The sequence below is a fragment of the Homo sapiens genome, chromosome 10 (assembly GCF_000001405.40).
Source record: "Homo sapiens chromosome 10, GRCh38.p14 Primary Assembly".
Taxonomy (NCBI): domain Eukaryota; kingdom Metazoa; phylum Chordata; class Mammalia; order Primates; family Hominidae; genus Homo; species Homo sapiens.
The window spans coordinates 80884401-80903680 of NC_000010.11; the positions used below are offsets into that span (position 1 = coordinate 80884401).

The window sequence follows — 19280 nt, forward strand, 5'->3', positions numbered from 1 at the left end:
GAACAAAGACACAACATACCAGAATCTCTGGGACACATTCAAAGCAGTGTGTAGAGGGAAATTTATAGCACTAAATGCCCACAAGAGAAAGCAGGAAAGATCTAAAATTGACACCCTAACATCACAATTAAAAGAACTAGAGAAACAAGAGCAAGCACATTCAAAAGCTAGCAGAAGGCAAGAAATAACTAAGATCAGAGCAGAACTGAAGGAAATGGAGACACAAAAAACCCTTCAAAAAATCAATGAATCCAGGAGCTGGTGTTTGGAAAAGATCAACAAAACTGATAGACCGCTAGCAAGACTAATAAAGAAGAAAAGAGAGAAGAATCAAATAGACGCAATAAAAAATGATAAAGGGGATATCACCACCGATCCCACAGAAGTACAAACAACCATCAGAGAATACTATAAACACCTCTATGCAAATAAACTAGAAAATCTAGAAGAAATGGATAAATTCCTCGACACAAACACCCTTCCAAGGCTAAACCAGGAAGAAATTGAATCTCTGAATAGACCAATAACAGGCTCTGAAATTGAGGCAATAATTAATAGCCTACCAACCAAAAAAAGTCCAGGACCACATGGATTCACAGCCGAATTCTACCAGAGGTACAAGGAGGAGCTGGTACCATTCCTTCTGAAACTATTCCAATCAATAGAAAAAGAGGGAATCCTCCCTAACTCATCTTATGAGGCCAGCATCATCCTGATACCAAAGCCGGGCAGAGACACAACAAAAAAAGAGAATTTTAGACCAATATCCCTGATGAGCATCGATGCAAAAATCCTCAATAAAATACTGGCAAACCCAATCCAGCAGCACATCAAAAAGCTTATCCACCATGATCAAGTGGGCTTCATCCCTGGGATGCAAGGCTGGTTCAACATATGCAAATCAATAAACATAATCCAGCATATAAACAGAACCAAAGACAAAAACCACATGATTATCTCAATAGATGCAGAAAAGGCCTTTGACAAAATTCAACAACTCTTCTTGCTAAAAACTCTCAATAAATTAGGTACTGATGGGATGTATCTCAAAATAATAAGAGCTATCTATGACAAACCCACAGCCAATACCATACTGAATGGGCAAAAAATGGAAGCATTCCCTTTGAAAACTGGCACAAGACAGGGATGCCCTCTCTCACCACTCCTATTCAACATAGTGTTGGAAGTTCTGGCCAGGGCAATCAGGCAGGAGAAGGAAATAAAGGGTATTCAGTTAGGAAAAGAGGAAGTCAAATTGTTCCTGTTTGCAGATGATATGATTGCATATCTAGAAAACCCCATCGTCTCAGCCCAAAATCTCCTTAAGCTGATAGGCAACTTCAGCAAAGTCTCAGGATACAAAATAAATGTGCAAAAATCACAAACATTCTTATACACCAATAACAGACAAACAGAGCCAAATCATGAGTGAACTCCCATTCACAATTGCTTCAAAGAGAATAAAATACCTAGGAATCCAACTTACAAGGGACCTGAAGGACCTCTTCAAGGAGAACTACAAACCACTGCTCAATGAAATAAAAGAGGATACAAACAAATGGAAGAACATTCCATGCTCATGGGTAGGAAGAATCAATATCGTGAAAATGGCCATACTGCCCAAGGTAATTTATAGATTCAATGCCATCCCCATCAAGCTACCAATGACTTTCTTCACAGAATTGGAAAAAACGACTTTAAAGTTCATATGCAACCAAAAAAGAGCCCGCATTGCCAAGTCAATCCTAAGTCAAAAGAACACAGCTGGAGGCATCACGCTACCTGACTTCAAACTATGCTACACGGCTACAGTAACCAAAACAGCATGGTACTGGTACCAAAACAGAGATATAGACCAATGGAACAGAACAGAGCCCCGAGAAATAATGCTGCATATCTACAACCATCTGATCTTTGACAAACCTGACAAAAACAAGCAATGGGGAAAGGATTCCCTATTTAATAAATGGTGCTGGGAAAACTGGTTAGCCATATGTAGAAAGCTGAAACTGGATCCCTTCCTCACACCTTATACAAAAATTAATTCAAGATGGATTAAAGACTTAAACGTTAGACCTAAAACCATAAAAATCCTAGAAGAAAACCTAGGCATTACCATTCAGGACATAGGCACGGGCAAGGACTTCATGTCTAAAACACCAAAAGCAACGGCAACAAAAGTCAAAATTGACAAATGGGATCTAATTAAACTAAAGAGCTTCTGCACAGCAAAAGAAACTACCATCAGAGTGAACAGGCAACCTACAGAATGGGAGAAAATTTTTGCAATCTACTCATCTGAGAAAGGGCTAATATCCAGAATCTACAATGAACTCAAACAAATTTAGAAGAAAAAAACAACCCCATCAAAAAGTGGGCGAAGGATATGAACAGACACTTCTCAAAAGAAGACATTTATGCAGCCAAAAGACACATGAAAAAATGCTCATCATCACTGGCCATCAGAGAAATGCAAATCAAAACCACAATGAGATACCATCTCACACCAGTTAGAATGGCAATCATTAAAAAGTCAGGAAACAACAGGTGCTGGAGAGGATGTGGAGAAATAGGAACACTTTTACACTGTTGGTGGGACTGTAAACTAGTTCAACTATTGTGGAAGTCAGTGTGGCGATTCCTCAGGGATCTAGAACTAGAAATACCATTTGACCCAGCAATGCCATTACTGGGTATATACCCAAAGGGTTATAAATCATGCTGCTATAAAGACACATGCACACGTATGTTTATTGCGGCACTATTCACAATAGCAAAGACTTGGAACCAACCCAAATGTCCAACAATGATAGACTGGATTAAGAAAATGTGGCACATATACACCATGGAATACTATGCAGCCATAAAAAATGATGAGTTCATGTCCTTTGCAGGACATGGATGAAGCTGGAAACCATCATTCTCAGCAAACTATTGCAAGGACAAAAAACCAAACACCACATATTCTCACTCATAGGTGGGAATTGAACAATGAGAACACATGGACACAGGAAGGGGAACATCACACACCGGGCCCTGTTGTGGGGTGGGGGTAGGGGGGAGGGATAGCATTTGGAGATATACCTAATGTTAAATGACGAGTTACTGGGTGCAGCACACCAACATGGCACATGTATACATATGTAACAAGCCTGCACGTTGTGCACATGTACCCTAAAACTTAAAGTACAATAAGAAAAAAAAGAAAAAAACAAGGACAGGAAGACTCAATATTGTTAAGATGTCAATTCTTCCTAACTAGATCTATAGAGACTTGATGAAATCTCAATTCAAATCTCAACAAGCTATTTTTTGGTTATTGACAAACAGATTCCACAGTTTATATGAAAAGTCAAAAGACCCAGAATAGAAAACAAAATGTTAAAGGAGAAAAACAAAGTCAGAAGACTGACATATTGGACCTCAAGACTTACCACAAAGCTATAGCAGTCAAGAGTGTATGGTATTGGGGAAGGAACAGAAAAGCAGACAAATGGAGCAGAATAGGGAGCACAGAAACAGGCCTACACAAGTATAGTCAACTGATCCTTGACAAAGGACAAAGGCAACCCAATGGAGAAAAATCATTTTTTCAACAAATGGTGCTGGAACAACTGAACACCCACAAGCAAAAAATAAAAAGATTCTAAACACAGACCTTACACTTTCACAAAAATCAACTCAAAATGGATCCCAGACATATATGCAAAATGCAAAACTACAAAACTCCTAAAAGACAACATAGGAGAAACTGAAGGTAACTTTGGCAATGACCTTTCTTTAAATCACATTTTATCGCAGTTTATTTGTAGAAGCAATTAGAAATCAGAATACTGAAAACTCTTTGCTATACATCAAAATTTCCTTTTTTTTAAAATTACGAGGTGATGCCTATACATGGATATGGCATTTTTTTTCTTAACAATTTGTAGAGATGAAGATAACTGGATTAAAACTATTAAAAATGGAATATTGGTTTCTTTCAGGCATTATTGGTTAAATTAGTGAAATTCAAAGTGGAAAAATATGCTAGATATCTATTAAAATGGTCATTTCAGCTATGGTAGCTAATTACTCTTTTAGTAGACATTTTAAGAGTCTTTCATAAAGTATAGAAATTGAATGGCTATTAAACATTTATTCGCTTTTTAAAAATTTCAACTTGTATTTTGGATTCAGGGGTATATGTGCAGGTTTGTCACATGGTTATATGGCGTGATGTTGAGGTTTGGGGTAAGAATGATCCCTGGTAGGCCGGGCGTGGTGGCTCATGCCTGTAATCCCAGCACTCTGGGAGGCCAAGGCGGGTGACTCACCTAAGGTCAGGAGTTCGAGACCAGCCTGGCCAACATAGCAAAACCCCGTCTCTACTAAAAATACAAAAAAATTAGCCAGGCGTGGCTGGGTGTGGTGGCTCATGCCTATAATCCCAGCACTTTGGGAGGCCAAGGCGGGTGGATCACGAGGTCAGGAGATGGAGACCATCCTGGCTAACACGGTGAAACCTCATCTCTACTAAAAATACAAAAAAGTTAGCCAGGCGTGGTGGTGGGCGCCTGTAGTCCCAGCTACTCGGGAGGCTGAGGCAGGAGAATGGCGAGAACCCAAGAGGCAGAGCTTGCAGTGAGCCGAGATTGCGCCACTGCACTCCAGCCTGGGTGACAGAGCGAGACTTCGTCTCAAAAAAACAAAAAGAAAAACAAAAAATTAGCAGAGCATGGTGGTGGGCACCTGTAGCCCCAGCTACTTGGGAGGCTGAGGCAGGAGAATGGCATGAACCTGGGAGGCGGAGCTTGCAGGGAGCCGATATCCCGCGCCACCACACTCCAGCCTGGGCGACAGAGTGAGACCCCATCTCCAAGAAAAAAAATAATAAAATAAAAAATTAGCTGGGTGTGATACTGCATGCCTGTGGTCCCAGCTACTCAGGAGACTGAGGTGCGAGGATTGCTTGAGCCCAGGACGTTGAGGCTGCCATTAGCTGTGATTGCCACCTCTGCACTCCAGCCTGGGTGACACAGTGAGACCCTACCTTAAAAAACAAAAAAAGAAAAAAAGAAAGAAGAAAATAAATGCTCTTAACTGTTCAGAAAAAAAATGAATTAATGTCATATATTCTGTTAAACTATCAGAATGAGAAAAGATATTTTTTTGACTCTTAAGTCCTCAGGAAGTTAAGTAAGCAAAGATCCTCCCAAAAGCCACTTAGATTGGAGCAAGGTGGCAGTGGGGAAAGGGTCACCTGATACCATCAGTATCCTTGCTAAATTTGAAGCAAACAGGGCATTGCATAGGGTGCAGGCGATTAGAGGTGGTCTGGGGGTCTGAATACCTCCCTCTTCATGGGCAATAGGCTCTGCTCAGTGTTTATGACACAGTTTTTGGCAGTCACATCACGCTGTTGACTTACACTTACCCTTTATTTTTGAACTTTGCGTATTTAGATCTTATGGATATCTAGGGAAAGCCAATTTGGCCACTACCAGGATGCAGACATGTTCAGAGGACTAGAATTCACCTCTCTATTAAGGTAAGTGTGTACAGGAATGAGTGGGGATCCTGGCTGCTTTTGTGTCCTAGTGACATATGTAGTTCATACTCTAATTTCATACTATGAACTCCAGAGCTGCTTCCCTAAGCTATTAGAAGACCTGTGCAGGGAGGACACTGCTGTGAAAATATTGGATTGCTTCTGAAAACCTGCATTTCCAGAACCTGCTCCCTGTGAGGTTAGCTTCATTCTTATGGAAAATAGCAGTTACACATTAAAGATTTTCAGCAGTCCCAAGCCAAGAACGCACACTATAACAGCATTGTGGCAAACACAAGCACAAACAGTTATAGGTTACTGTAGTAATCAAACATTATTGTGTGAAAGCTTGGGAATAACCTTGGGAAGCCAAATAGATGGGCTTCAGGACACATTCCACAGCTGTATCCTCACTTCTCATCATTTCTTTTCCCAGGGCTTAGGAGAGAGCAAACTAATCTGCATACCAGTCTGCCATCTTCATTACCTAGGAGATAAACCATTTCTCCAAGGATTTCTTTACCTCCAGCCACCAATCCTCCCCTGCAATTTAGTTTGCATTTGTATTGCTCATTTGGTTGTTATTTATAAAGTGGCAGAGATTAGGTTTCAGAGTAAAGTTGGATTTGGTGCTAGAGTTCATAACTACCTTTTTAAAAATAAAATTTCCTTAATAAGCCAAAAGAAGGGGGAATTGCTCCTGGGAGGATGCTGACTAGGTCTTAGGATGAAACATTCTTTCTGCACAATTCCTGATAGTGGTTGTTACTCTCCAGTCTCTGGCTACTGGTGCTGCATGAAGCCAGAAGCCTCACTTTGGAAGTAAAGTTACAAAATGATTAAAGGTGAGCCAGTATTTCCAGAGCTATTTGTTTCTATTAAAATGGAAGGGGAAGTTTTGAACTCTGGCTGCTGGCATAGAAGATATGGTTTGGATGTTTGTCCCCTCCAAATCTCATGCTGAAATGTGATTCCTAATGTTGGAGGTAAAGCCTGGTGTGAGGTGATTGGATCATGGTGGCAGATCCCTGTGAACGGCTTAGCGCCATCCCTTCGTGATAAGTGAGTTCTTGTCCAGCTCATGTGAAATCTGATTGTTTAAAAGAGTCACGGACTCTCTTTCTCTGGCTCCTACTCTCACCATGTGATGCACCTGCTCCTCCTTCGCCTTCTGCCTTGACTGGAAGTTTCCTCTTGCCAGGAGCAGATACTGGAGGCATGCTTGTACAGCCTGCAGTACCGTGAGCCAATTAAGTCTCACTTCTTTATAAATTACCCAGCCTCAGGTATTTCTTTACAGCAATGCAAGAATGGACACAGGAAGAAAAATCTTGGTCAAGTCAACCTGTAAGATTTGTCCTTAGTTTTGTGCTTCTCAGTGTTGCCCAAATTAAATGATAGATTTATAAACCAGATCTCAATGTACTGATTTACAGTGAGGGGATTCTCTCTTATGAATTCTGGAACAATTAAGCCCATTGTCCTGAGCATTGTTTTCTGAAATGATAGCTCCACCTAGGGAAGGAGTCAGTATTTGGAGCCTGGTGAATTAGATTCCAGATATACAGATTAGACTACTCTTGCAGGATTTAGGCAAAGCACTGAAGGGTCATCTTCCACTGACAAGGATTCTAGGTCTGCCTTCATAGCAATCTGGAAGCAACGCTCACCTACACTTGCATTTCGGCTCTCCTCCATTTAGTCTTTACTTCACTATGCACCATGCCCAGCTAATTTTTAATTTTTTTGTAGAGATGGGGTCTTGCCACATTGCCCAGGCTGGTCTCTTTTAATAATTATGCAACCTCAAAGAACAGTTTTCAGCTTCACCATTAGTAACATCACTGTTATGTCCTTCTAGGTTTGTATTCTTAGAGGTTGAAAGTCCATAGTTAAGTACTCAGGCAAGGAGACCTGGTTGACCTATTCTAGCATAGCCTATCTGTAGGCCTTGAGACCATTATCATTACCCTTTCTATGTCTTTAGTTTCCACATCTATAAATGGGTATATAAGTAACTCTCTTATCTCATGGAGCTATAATGGGGTTGTAAGAAATAATTCCTGTGAAGTTCTAAGTATGTGTGGTAGGCAGCCTCTATGGTGGCCCCAATGAGTCTCACCTCCTGGTGTTCACGTCCTTATGTAGTCCCCTCTAACAGTAAATAGGGCTGATAGGGATAATTAAGACATGCATTATATCCTTAGTGGAGAATAAAGTGGCATTGCTGTCAGCATTATTCACTGAAGAAGTGGGCCTGGCAATACAGATGTCAGCAAACTGGAGGAGAACTTAGAATTTGACTGTTCTAGTCCCTTCGCCCGAATTGTTCTTTAAAAAAATAGTTCTTCAAAATGCTCTCCAAAACGATCTTTCAGGTTCAAAGAAGTTTGGAGAATATTTAATACTAAACTATCCTTTTAGGGAGGCACCATGAACCTTTCTCTGATAAATTTTTATTTTCATTTTTCTCGCTTTTTGTTTTTTTGGGACAAGGTCTTACTGTGTTGCTCAGGCTAGAGTGTGGTGGCGTGAACACAGCTCACTGCAGCCTTGATATCCCAGGCTAAGCGATACTCCTCCTTCAGCTTCCTGAGTAGCTGGTACCACACACCACCACAGCCGGTTTTATTTTTTTGTAGAGACAGGTTCTTGCCATGTTGCCCAGACTGGTTTCGAACTCCTGGGCTCAAGTAATCCTCCCATCTTGGCCTTCCAAAGTGCTAGGATTACAGGTATGAGCCACAGCTTCTGGCCCTGATTTTTTTTTTTTTTTAAAATTATTATAAAAGCAATACAGGCTCTAGTAGGGGGGCAGACAAAAAACACTAAAAAATTCAAAGGAGAGCCTTCTAAAGACATCTTTAGAAGACTTCAATTTCTAATTGCCAAATTCCACTCAGGAATAGAAAGCAGCTGGGAAGATCCACATCAGATTCTTTATGTTCCACACACAGCCCCAAGCCGTTTGTCTAACAACGTGGGCTTTGGAGCTAGTCAGCCTGGAGCCTCCTGGTTCTTCCACTTGCTTTTAGACTTTAGTTAAAAGATAACTTCTGTGTAACTCAGTTTCCTTATTAGCACAACTGGGAAAATAACAATACTAACATAAGGGAATATTGTGAGAATTTAATGAAATAACAGGCAAGATTTTTTTAAAAACTATTATAGACTTATTTCTGTAATGTATAGATTTATCCATTTCTGACCATTGCAAAAAAAAAAAATCACTACTTTTATAACAAATAACAGTTTAGTGACTTTTAAAATATAATTTTGAGTGGAAAAGTTCTTTTAAAGCATGGCGTGAAACTTGCAAACCATAAAAGAATGATTGCTCAACTTGACTACATGCAAATTAGCATTTATGAACAAGAACAAACCTCACTAACAACGTTAGAAGACAAACGGCAAAATAAAAAATTGTTGTGTATAGAAAAAGCTCCCATTTCTTTAACGCATGAAGAACTTTTCCAACTAAATAGATTAACCCAGTAGAAAAAGAAGCACAAACTAAGTACTGTACTTTGGACACACACACACACTTTGCCAATATGCAAATGAGAGTCAGAGACATGATCTTTTTCCTATGAAATTGGCATGTTTTAGAAGAGTGTTAGTGAATATACAGGGTTACTAAGTATGTATAAGAAAATGGTGGCTGGTCATGGTGGCTCATGCCCGTAATCCCAGCACTTTGGGAGGCCAAGGCGGATGGATCCCCTGAGGTCAGGAGTTCAAGACCAGCCTAGCCAACATGGTGAAACCCTGACTCTACTAAAAATACAAAAATTAGCCAGGCATGGTGGCACATGCCTGTAATCCCAGCTACTCGGGAGGCTGAGGCAGGAGAATTGCTTGAACCCAGGAGGTGGAGGTTGCAGAGGGGTGAGATCACACCACTGTACCCCAGCCTGGGCAACAGAGTGAGACTCTGTCTCAGAAAAAAAAAAAAAAAGAAAATGGAAATATTAAAGTACTATTTGTGAAGGTAAACTGGTATAACTTTTGTTGTATCATATAAAGTGTGAATTTGAATAAAGATTTTATAAAAATGCATACCACTTGAACCAAGAATTGCACTTTCAAGACTTGGTCTACCGATATGCTTTTGCACGTGCACAAAGATTTATGTGTAATCATGTGGCAGTGTTTTTGTACTTGCAAAGTTACGGGACATAGAATGTGCAAAGAAAGCTTTAAAAAGTTTTGTAGTAGAGAAATCTTAAATTTTTTTTTAAAACTAGCACTTACTAAACTTTAGCGCCTTTGAATCCTGCTTTAAGAATAACACCAACTACCATCCATAGGAAGTAGAATTCTCTAAAAAGCACTGTAGAAAATGCTGTTCTTGTAAAAACTTTCCAACCATTAATTACCTGGAGCTGTGGCTTTAAGAATTACAAGCAGGAAAGTACTCAAAGATCAAAGGACTCAGCATAGAGGAAAAAACATCTGTGGTCTTTGTTTCTTGAGGAAGTTCTCTTCCTAGAAGAGAAGGGTTTTTTATTGTTTTTTTTGTTTTTTAGCCTGGTTGGAAATGGATGACTTTAAAATTTGCATGAAAAAAGAACAAAGGAGTTCTGCTTCCTTAAAGGCTGTAGACATTAGCAAAACTGAAGGTGCCTTCCACCCTAATAAAAAGTCATGTTATCTACACGGTCCTAACTTTTCTTGAGCCCATCAGGGAGCTGAGGTCCAAAGGCAACCAGGTAGACAGAATTCCAAAGAATGACAAGGAAAGAGGCACGTGAGCTCTTTCAGTTTTGGCAGCTCATGGTGGGAAGAGGGGGCCGCCACAGAATTGGGTAAAAAAGAAAAAAAGCTAAAACAAATACTACATCTTAAAGGCTGAATATGAACCAACATGGCAGTTTAGAAACCCTGGGTGTCCCAGACACGAGAGATGACTGCTGTCACTCACCAGCTCTTTTCCAGGGACTCCCTCACAAAGACGAGGTAGGATAGGGGCCTGGAATGGTGTCCTTCAGAGGCGAGAGGCCTGCCATCCTCACAGGCAAGACCTGAAGCCGCTGGTGGAGGAGAGGAAGCCCTTCAGCTCCCAGCATCCAGGCTGTCCACCACTGCTGGGAGAGCAGAGTGAGCCAAAATTATCTACACCTGAGGGAACTGAGTTGTCTACACCTGGGGGACTTACGGTGCACTCTCTCCTGCCTTTTGGGAGCAGGATAGGAGCAAGAACGCTGAGAAAAGCCCGCTTATGTGGCCCAGGTGCTCCAGGTCTGCCTGGGTCTGAGGCTGCACCTGAGGAAACATGCCTGCCTCCACCAACAACCCAGCACCAGGTAGCCAGCACCAGTGGGCTAGCTCTGGGCAGGTGCAGGGAGGAGAGCAGCAGGGACCACTGACGGCTGAGGGTGGGGCATGAAGAGCAGGCAGCAGCGGCTCACCACTAGAGGAATTCAGATCCATGCGGCACTGAAGGTAACCTAGCACCCCAAACCCCACCTCTGCTCACCTTACTCACCAGACTGACTCAATTCCTACCTCCCGTTCCACAGACTGGACACAGCTGAGGAAAGAAACGTGAACATTGGAGTCAGGCCAATAGAAATGGTCCAAACTGGAACCCAGTGAGAAACAAGAGTAAAAAAAGGCCAAGGGCTCTCCCTGAATGTTAGCTTGGAATCTAAAAATGTATCATGATTCTATGAAATCATATTGATAACTCTGATATTGTTTCCTTGATATTGTTTCCTGGTTTCTTGGACCTGTTAACATAGTGAAGGTTCCTGTCAGATCACTGTCTGGTGCGTGGTGCTCCTAACACATGATGAGAGGAATTATAAGCTTCCAATATGACAATGACACTGGAAATTCCTTAAAAACAAAGCAGAACCCAGCGTAGTGATTGCGTAGAGGAAGAGTTTGGTAACTTTACCTCTCATCTTTGCTGTGAACGAAGTCCTCAGTGAAGAAAGGCTGGTTTTTCACAAAATGTGTCTTTTTATATCATTCCCCTTTTAAATTTGTATATTCAAATGGATCTACCCTACATGGAGGATATGCTTACAGTCATTCTCCTTTATTAGACTGTTTATTCCAGAAGCTATGACCATTTCTGCCTTTGTTTCCCCTAACTGCTAAGCAGGAGGAGAGAGAAGAAATTATGCATTTTGTGAGTGAAGAAACTAAGGCTGAAGGAGGTTGTGAATATTTTACGTTAAGGAGAGACAGGAAAAAAATCCTCTAATGTGTTGTCTTTGACTAAACTATGAGGCTGCTCCATTTTTTATCTTAGCAACTTATCATTTTTCCCAGGGTCAATGACTACTTGCAAAAAACAGTAAGTCTATATTCGCCCCAGGAAAAGATCTGATCTGAATACCAGAATACCACGGGCACATGTAGAGATATGGGTCTCCTGTTTATAGTTGATATTTCTACATTAAGATGAAACAGCTGCCAATTCAAAACTGCAGCCCTCCAGCAAAGCCCCACGGCATTATAAAAAAGCATATACTCTTGGCCCTTTCCAGCTGTCAGCCTCACTGCTCACCTTTCGTCTTGCATTTTATTATAGATATTTTGACCAGGATTTTATAATGTGGAGCAGGAGAGGAATTCACCCGTTCCCTGTCATAAAACACCATCTCCACTGAGAAAACAGGGAAATTGGAGCAGAAGCTTGGTGTCTGAAAATATGATTTTGCCTGGAGAGGATCCAAGGCTGTCATCTTTGCAGGCAGCATGGCATAGTGGTTAGCTTTAGTGAGCTGCAACTTGGGATTGAGATAAAATCTAGTCCAAACTAACATTGTTTAAGTCCCTCATAAAGTGAGGAGTATGGGTGTGGGACAGGAATGAGACTGCCTGAGGGATCTAAGTGGCTGCCACAGAGGAGAGGGATGAGACGATGCTGTGCAGAGAACCAAGCAGGTATTGCAGACCTTGGCCCTGCACACCCAATCTCTGAATAATATTGTTTGTTTTTTTTCCAGAAACTGTAACCCAAGGTCCTAGGGTTTTGGATATGCACGGTGAAAAACTACCCACTTGTAACTGTGGCACCGTGAATTCTTTGTCATCTCAAAATGTTCTAGGAAGAAGCTCAGCCCTGGAAAAACAAAAACGAGTTGGATCCAGAGATAGCTGAGTTGGAGATAAACTTTGGTGAACTCTCCTCAGTACCCTACTAAAACCCTTGCCCAGGGAGGAGCTTATTTTCCCTTTGGTTTGTACTTGTGATGTGGGTAAAAGCATGATCAGTAACTGCACCTGCACTGCCTTTACTCCTCCGCTACATACGATGACTCAGCTGACCAGCCCAGTAAAATCCCTGTTTTTACCATTGTTCGGGGAGGAGCTATCTCGGGAACTATCCTGGATGTCTTCCTTACTTGTTGCAAATAATAAAATCTCCTCGTTACATCCTCCTTGGTTGTGGTCATTGGACTGTCACCTGCCAGGTGATTGAACCCACCCATTGTGTGGGTAATGAAAATAGTAGCTTTCACATTTCCTGTTTTATCTATATTGCTAAAATTAAATTCTCCTCTAGATATGGATACCTACCAATAAGGGCCAATGGCTGGGGTAGAATTGGGTGAGTTCTGCATAATTTTTCAACCAAATCTCCATTTCAAATGCTGTCTCTTCTTTATCAGGTCTGTTATTCTGCCCTTTGGAAATCTCCTTCTATGGGTAGGGCTTTTCCCAGTTCTGCATGTGGGGTTGAACTTGCAGATAACACTTGATGCTTATGGCAGAGGAACAAGGTTTTGCCTGTCTCTTCTCAGGTGCTATTTCCTTAGGAAACTGGCTGTGACATGTACGCCTGGAGAGCCACCGCTGTGCTGTCTTGGGAGCCTCCTGAAGGCCTGGGAGACAGACCCTTGGCTCTTACTTCTTTGCAGATTCGTATGGCTTACCAGCATTTAGTCTCTTGTTTCTCACTCCAAATCCAGTGATCTAGTTTCTGCATCACAGATTTTAAATACGGCTGTTCTCCAGATATATACGATTATAATTCAAAACACATACAAATACCACGTTAAGAGAATGCAGTTTTTTTGAAAGATAAAAAGCAGATAAATCATGTATGTATCTTATGGTTGCAATAATAGCTACACTAATGTTTATGTCAAATCTCAAACGAGAACAAATAGCTTAACTAATGGTGTGTAACAACTCCCACTGTGAAATACAATAGGACTTGTTAGTTCACCATGTAGGATACTTGGAAAAAATGGATTTTTGAATAATCTGGGATAAGCTGACCTATTTTTTTATGTAAGAGGAGAATAGAAGTTGCTTTGAATTTAATATGCCTTACTACCAAAAACCTATAAAAGTTTTACTTTACGGACATAAAGTCTCAGTAATGAGAAGGTATTTTGGTATATTTATAACCTCTAATTGCAATAGGTCAATTATGTGTATGTTATACATTATATAGGTGTGTGTGTTGTGTGTTAATACATTATATGTGAGTGTGCTATATGTATATGTTTGAAAAAGAGATTACTCTTCACCTGATGGGATAATTCAATTGAGTTGAATCATAAAACTTTATTTTTATACTCTAGGTATTTCAAAATCACCATTGTAAATGTGAAAATATAAATGTTGGAAATACTGTAAACCTTGTTTTATGGATTCATTTAATTTTAAATATGAGTGATTTATTTTCGTTGAGTCAACATTTTAGAAGAACAAAGTTATGAAATATTAAAGAGAAAAAATTTTACCTTTATTTTCTTGCAACTGAGGGTACACATTCCAAAGGACAGTCTTGGTGATATAAAGCTGGGCTCACAAAAGAATGTCTTCAAACACTTGTTAATCACCTCAGGAGAGGAAGTTGTGACATCCACATTTTTTTGTTGTTGTTATTCACCGATGAGCACATAGATGAAAGGTTATAGCTGGTCCTCACTTGAAATGGTACTTCACATACGTGTTCATTAAATTTATGATAACTGAATTTACTAAGAACTATAGTTTATGAATGGAATCCAAAATTTTGCTATTGGATAACCTCTAAAAAGACATTGCAGTGGGTTTTTGTTGCCCTGGAATTCCACTGGCTGCTTTCAAATCCTACAGATTGGTTGAACATAATATAAAAAGAACTTCTGGGTTAGTAAGCCAGCCAAGGGACACTGAATATTCAATGAGTAATGTTCTCAATGCCAGCTCACAGATATAGCTCAGCCTCTCTTAGTCAAAATGGAGTTGACACTGTGCCCTCTCAGGAAAGAATCCTAATGCTATATTAGTAACTTTCAATCAAGTTAATGAAAAGATTGCCATTTTGGAGGATAATCCTTGGCATAGGCCTGTAGTATTCTCTGCATTTTAAAAGTTTAAAATAATTTTACTGAGGAATGTCCTGGAGTCATCAATCTAGATCAGCTTTTCCAGTTACTACATGCTCTTTTAAAATTGGGATTCAAATATTCTTTTATTTCAGGAAAAGTATTTTTGAACTATACATTTAAATATGTTATATATATATTTTTTTAGTTTTAGCCACTGGAAGGTGGCTGAGGACCTAGTAACACTCTGAGGCATCCTTTTTAATTGATCATAAATGAGCATCTTTCTAGCATCCTCATCTGTGGGCATCTGAAGGTATCCACTCTTTAGATCTGATTCTGAATATTATTGATTCCCTTCATAAGCTACCAGGGCAGCCTAAATTTCAGGGAGTGGGTATTGATCTACTTTGGTATAATTATTCTGCCTATGATGACCAATTCTAATTTTGCTTTTTATTTGCTGCATACCCATGACAGGAGATACATAGGGCTTCCGAGACACAGATATAAAGCTATTGACTAAAAATTATTGAATATCATCTCAAAATCATTAACTGTAACAGAGCTATTCTTCTTGAGAAGTTCTTCCTAAAAGGTTTAGGATCTCACAAAACTGGATCTAGCTGCTCCTCTTTTCCACAGCTCCCAACATACTCAGTGTATGTAGCACCTCACTCCTAGCCAGTGGTGTGCTGGCAAATAAATGTTTAACAACTGGCTGTCTGGGAGAAAAACCAAATTAAAACAAACCAACAAAAATCCCTCCATTATAGCACCTGCCAATTTTGTGGTATAAATACTTTCATCCTGGCTGATTTCAAGCTACAAATATGATGTCACTGAACATGGAGTTGGGAAGAGATCCTTGCAATCAGGTGTGAGCTTGCTCCAGCACACCATTGCTCCTTGTCCAAAAGCCTCACTTTTAACCTCTGCTTTCCTCCTGCACGTGCTGGAAAACTGTTGAACTCGAAGTGATTCAAACTCGGTTTCCCTTGGTCCGACTCTGTGAACTTGATCAGCTGGAGTGGAGGAAGCTGTCTTTAGTTGTTACTACGTGGTGGCATATATGCATCCAACGTTACATAGCAGAAACTTTAGCTGAATACATTTCCCCAATTACTACAAGCAACATGAGTCTAGAGTTAGTCCCAATTACTCTTGCTAGTTGAATCTGGTAGTACTCAACTGAGAGTGATTTTCCTGCCCGATAACATTTGGTAATGTCTGGAGACATTTTGAATGTCACAACTGGGGAGACAGTGGTATGGCATATACTGAGTAGGGGCCAGAGACTCTGCTAACATCCTACAATGCACAGGACAATCTGCACAACAAAGAATTATCTGGCCCAAAATGCCAATAGTGCTGAGGGTGAGAAAGCCCGGTCTAGTCAGATCCAGGCATGCCACAGAAATAGGGTACATTGCAGACTTCATCCTCCAACTTCTTGTTGGGATTTGCCACCATGTACCCCACATAAGGAACATTCAATCCAGTATACCCAGTTCTGTTATATCTTGCTATGGAATGCAAACAAGATTTTATTCATGAAAGTGTTTGGGTATCGATGTTCAGCACAGCCTGCCTTGGCTTGCCCACTGTTGTTATTTGAAACTCTGCCAGTACTTTAACCCTCCAGTCCTAGTGAAGGTGTTCAGAGATGCTGCCAGATGGGCATTAACCATCTAATTAATCATTAACCATTAGATGGTTGTGTGGGAGGTGCCAGCTGGCTTTGGGCTGGAAGACCTTTGATCTCTTTTTGCCATTTGAAGCAATGCATCTGCATCTTCTCTAACACCAGGATGGTTCCCTGGGTTTGTTCATCTGGCCATTATGTGTGTCCAGATGTGAAATTTGGAGAAAAGCTTGCCAAAGTGTTTTTACTATCTTTATAGTGGCAGCATTTTGTAACGTGTGGGGAAAGCAGTATTAAATTGACTTTCTTTAATTCTGTGTATGATGGAGCAGAGATGAAGACACCTCAGTCTTTGATGATGTCCTGTAACTCCTGACTTGATCTATATGGAAGCCATCTCTACCTCTGTACTGATACAAATACACAAGACAGTACCTCAAATAACTAGAGTGGCTTTGAGTTAAATTTTTTCTTACATACTACCAAATGCATGGACAATGGCATGTATGTATTTGTAAAGCTTGTACTTTTGTGGATTTCCAGTAGATGACAGAGTGAGTTCCCATAACCCTCCCTGTCCCTTGTGAAAACATCTAGCAAGTAAGATAAAAGATAAAAAATGGTTAACAGCTGTTAAACATCTCCATGAACAAGAAGCAGACAGTGGACTTTCTATCTGCTTATGGATAAACATAATGGAAAATGAATAAATCTCCATGGGCTAGAAGCACCAGCTTTCAAATGGGTTCTGAAGCCGAAGGCCTACTGGAGTTTGGGAATGGAAACAGAAGGTGACAGCAAGGATATTACCCTTATAGGAAATAAACATAAAAGTGTAGGAGATGAATAAAAAATAGCACATGTAGGCCGGGTGCGGTGGCCCATGCCTGTAATCCCAGCATTTTGGGAGGCCGAGGCAGGCGGATCACGAGGTCAGGAGATCGAGACCATCCTGTCTAACACGGTGAAACGCCGTCTCTACTAAAAAAAAAAACACACACACACACACAAAAATTAGCCCCGCGGTGGTGGGCGCCTGTAGTCCCAGCTACTCAGGAGGCTGAGGCAGGAGAATGGTGTGAACCCGGGAGGCGGAGCTTGCAGTGAGGCGAGATCGCGCCAGTGCAGTCCCGCCTGGGCGAAAGAGCGAGACACCGTCTCAAAAAAAAAAAAAAAAAGCACGTGTATGACATTGGAGTGGAGCCAGAGACCATATGAAATGGGGGTGGGGTGAGGAATGGGGTCTGCGCCCCAAGAATGATTGAAGGCTGAAAGAATCTTCAGATGCATTCAGAACCTGAAGCCGCTAGAGAACTTTCATCAAGGATGGCTGGATTGAACAGAAGCAGCTGCAAACCAGGAAATAGACCAAGCCTAGTGCTGCCTCAGGCCACAGATCATTGCTATATCCTGTCTCAGGATTCCTGAGATCACTGCTGGCCTGTATTTAGGCACCTGCAATTCCATGAAATAGGTAGGGGTGAACACAGAAAGAAGATATTCACATTTTAAAACGTTCACTCAATGTGAATTTGCATATGAAACTTTCAAAGAATATGAAGAAACATAAGCAATATATTTAACAAATTCAACCAGCCTGAAAATCATCTCCCAAGAAAATGAAAATTTTAAAAATTCTGAAAAATTACTTTTAAAACATCTTCTTTAAGACAGTATATGTTATTCAAATGTTTAATCTAATATATACAATTCATAGAAAGAATAGAACATTATGCAACAAAAATGGGTTGATACGAATTACATAAAAATGCATGTATAAAGATTTCAGAGTATAGAAATGTGCACAACTCAGGGGAATCCATGAAATCACTTCTATTTTTAATTCAAGTGGTTGTCCTCAAATACGAAGGGATATTCTTATATTTTTAAATTTTAATTTTGAAAATTTTTAATTTTCGTGGCTACATAGTAGACGTATATATTTATGGGTTACATGAGTTATTTTGATATAGGCATGCAATGTGTAATAATCACATCAGGGTAAATGGAGTAGCCAGCACCTCAAGCATTTATCCTTTGTGTTGCAAACAATCCAATTGTATTATTTTAGTTATTTTTAAATGTATAATTAAATTACTTTATAGTCATCCTGTTATGTTAGCAAATACTGGGTCTTATTCATTCTTTCTATTTTTCGTAACCATTAACCCTGTCCACTTCCCTCCTAACCCCCCACTACCCCTCCCAGCCTCTGGTGACCATCCTTCTATTCTCTATCTTCATGAGTTCAATTATTTTAATTTTTAGCTCCCACAAATAAGTGAGAACATATGAAGTTTGTCTTTCTGTGCCTGGCTTACTTTACTTTACACAATGAACTCCAGTTCCATCTGTGTTGTTGCAAATGACAGTATCTCATTCTTTTTTATAGCTGAATAATACTTCATTGTGTGTATCTACCACATTTTCTTTATCCATTAATTTGTTGATGGACATGTAGGTTATTTCCAAATCTTGGCTATTGTGAATAGTGCTGCAATAAACATGGGAGTGCAAATAACTCTTCAATATACTAGTTTCTTTCTTTTGGGCATATACCTAGGAGTGGTATTTCTGGATCATATGGTAGCTCTATTTTTAGTATTTTGAGGAACCTCCAAATTGTTTTCCATAGTGGTTTTACTAACTAACTTATATTTCCACCTACAGTGTACATGAGAATTTCCTTTTCTCCACATCCTCATCAGCATTCGTTATTGCCTGACTCTTGGATAAAAGCCATTTTAATTGGGGTGAGGTGATATCTCATTGTGGTTTTGATTTGCATTTCTCTAATGATCAGTGATGTTGATCACCTTTTCAT

At 40.2% G+C, this 19280-nt stretch overlaps 3 annotated features.

Moving 5' to 3' along the window:
* Positions 9587–10466: an enhancer, noted in NCBI's record as "OCT4-NANOG-H3K27ac-H3K4me1 hESC enhancer chr10:82653743-82654622 (GRCh37/hg19 assembly coordinates)". NCBI's record gives its function as "activates a minimal SCP1, AML or CMV promoter by ChIP-STARR-seq in naive and primed H9 embryonic stem cells {active_cell/tissue: H9 hESC(naive and primed)}" and the evidence as "EXISTENCE:reporter gene assay evidence [ECO:0000049][PMID:30033119]".
* Positions 11219–11419: a silencer, noted in NCBI's record as "peak1031 fragment used in MPRA reporter construct". NCBI's record gives its function as "represses an SCP1 promoter by STARR-seq MPRAs in K562 erythroleukemia cells {active_cell/tissue: K562}" and the evidence as "EXISTENCE:reporter gene assay evidence [ECO:0000049][PMID:32103011]".
* Positions 14078–14638: an enhancer, noted in NCBI's record as "NANOG hESC enhancer chr10:82658234-82658794 (GRCh37/hg19 assembly coordinates)". NCBI's record gives its function as "activates a minimal SCP1, AML or CMV promoter by ChIP-STARR-seq in naive H9 embryonic stem cells {active_cell/tissue: H9 hESC(naive)}" and the evidence as "EXISTENCE:reporter gene assay evidence [ECO:0000049][PMID:30033119]".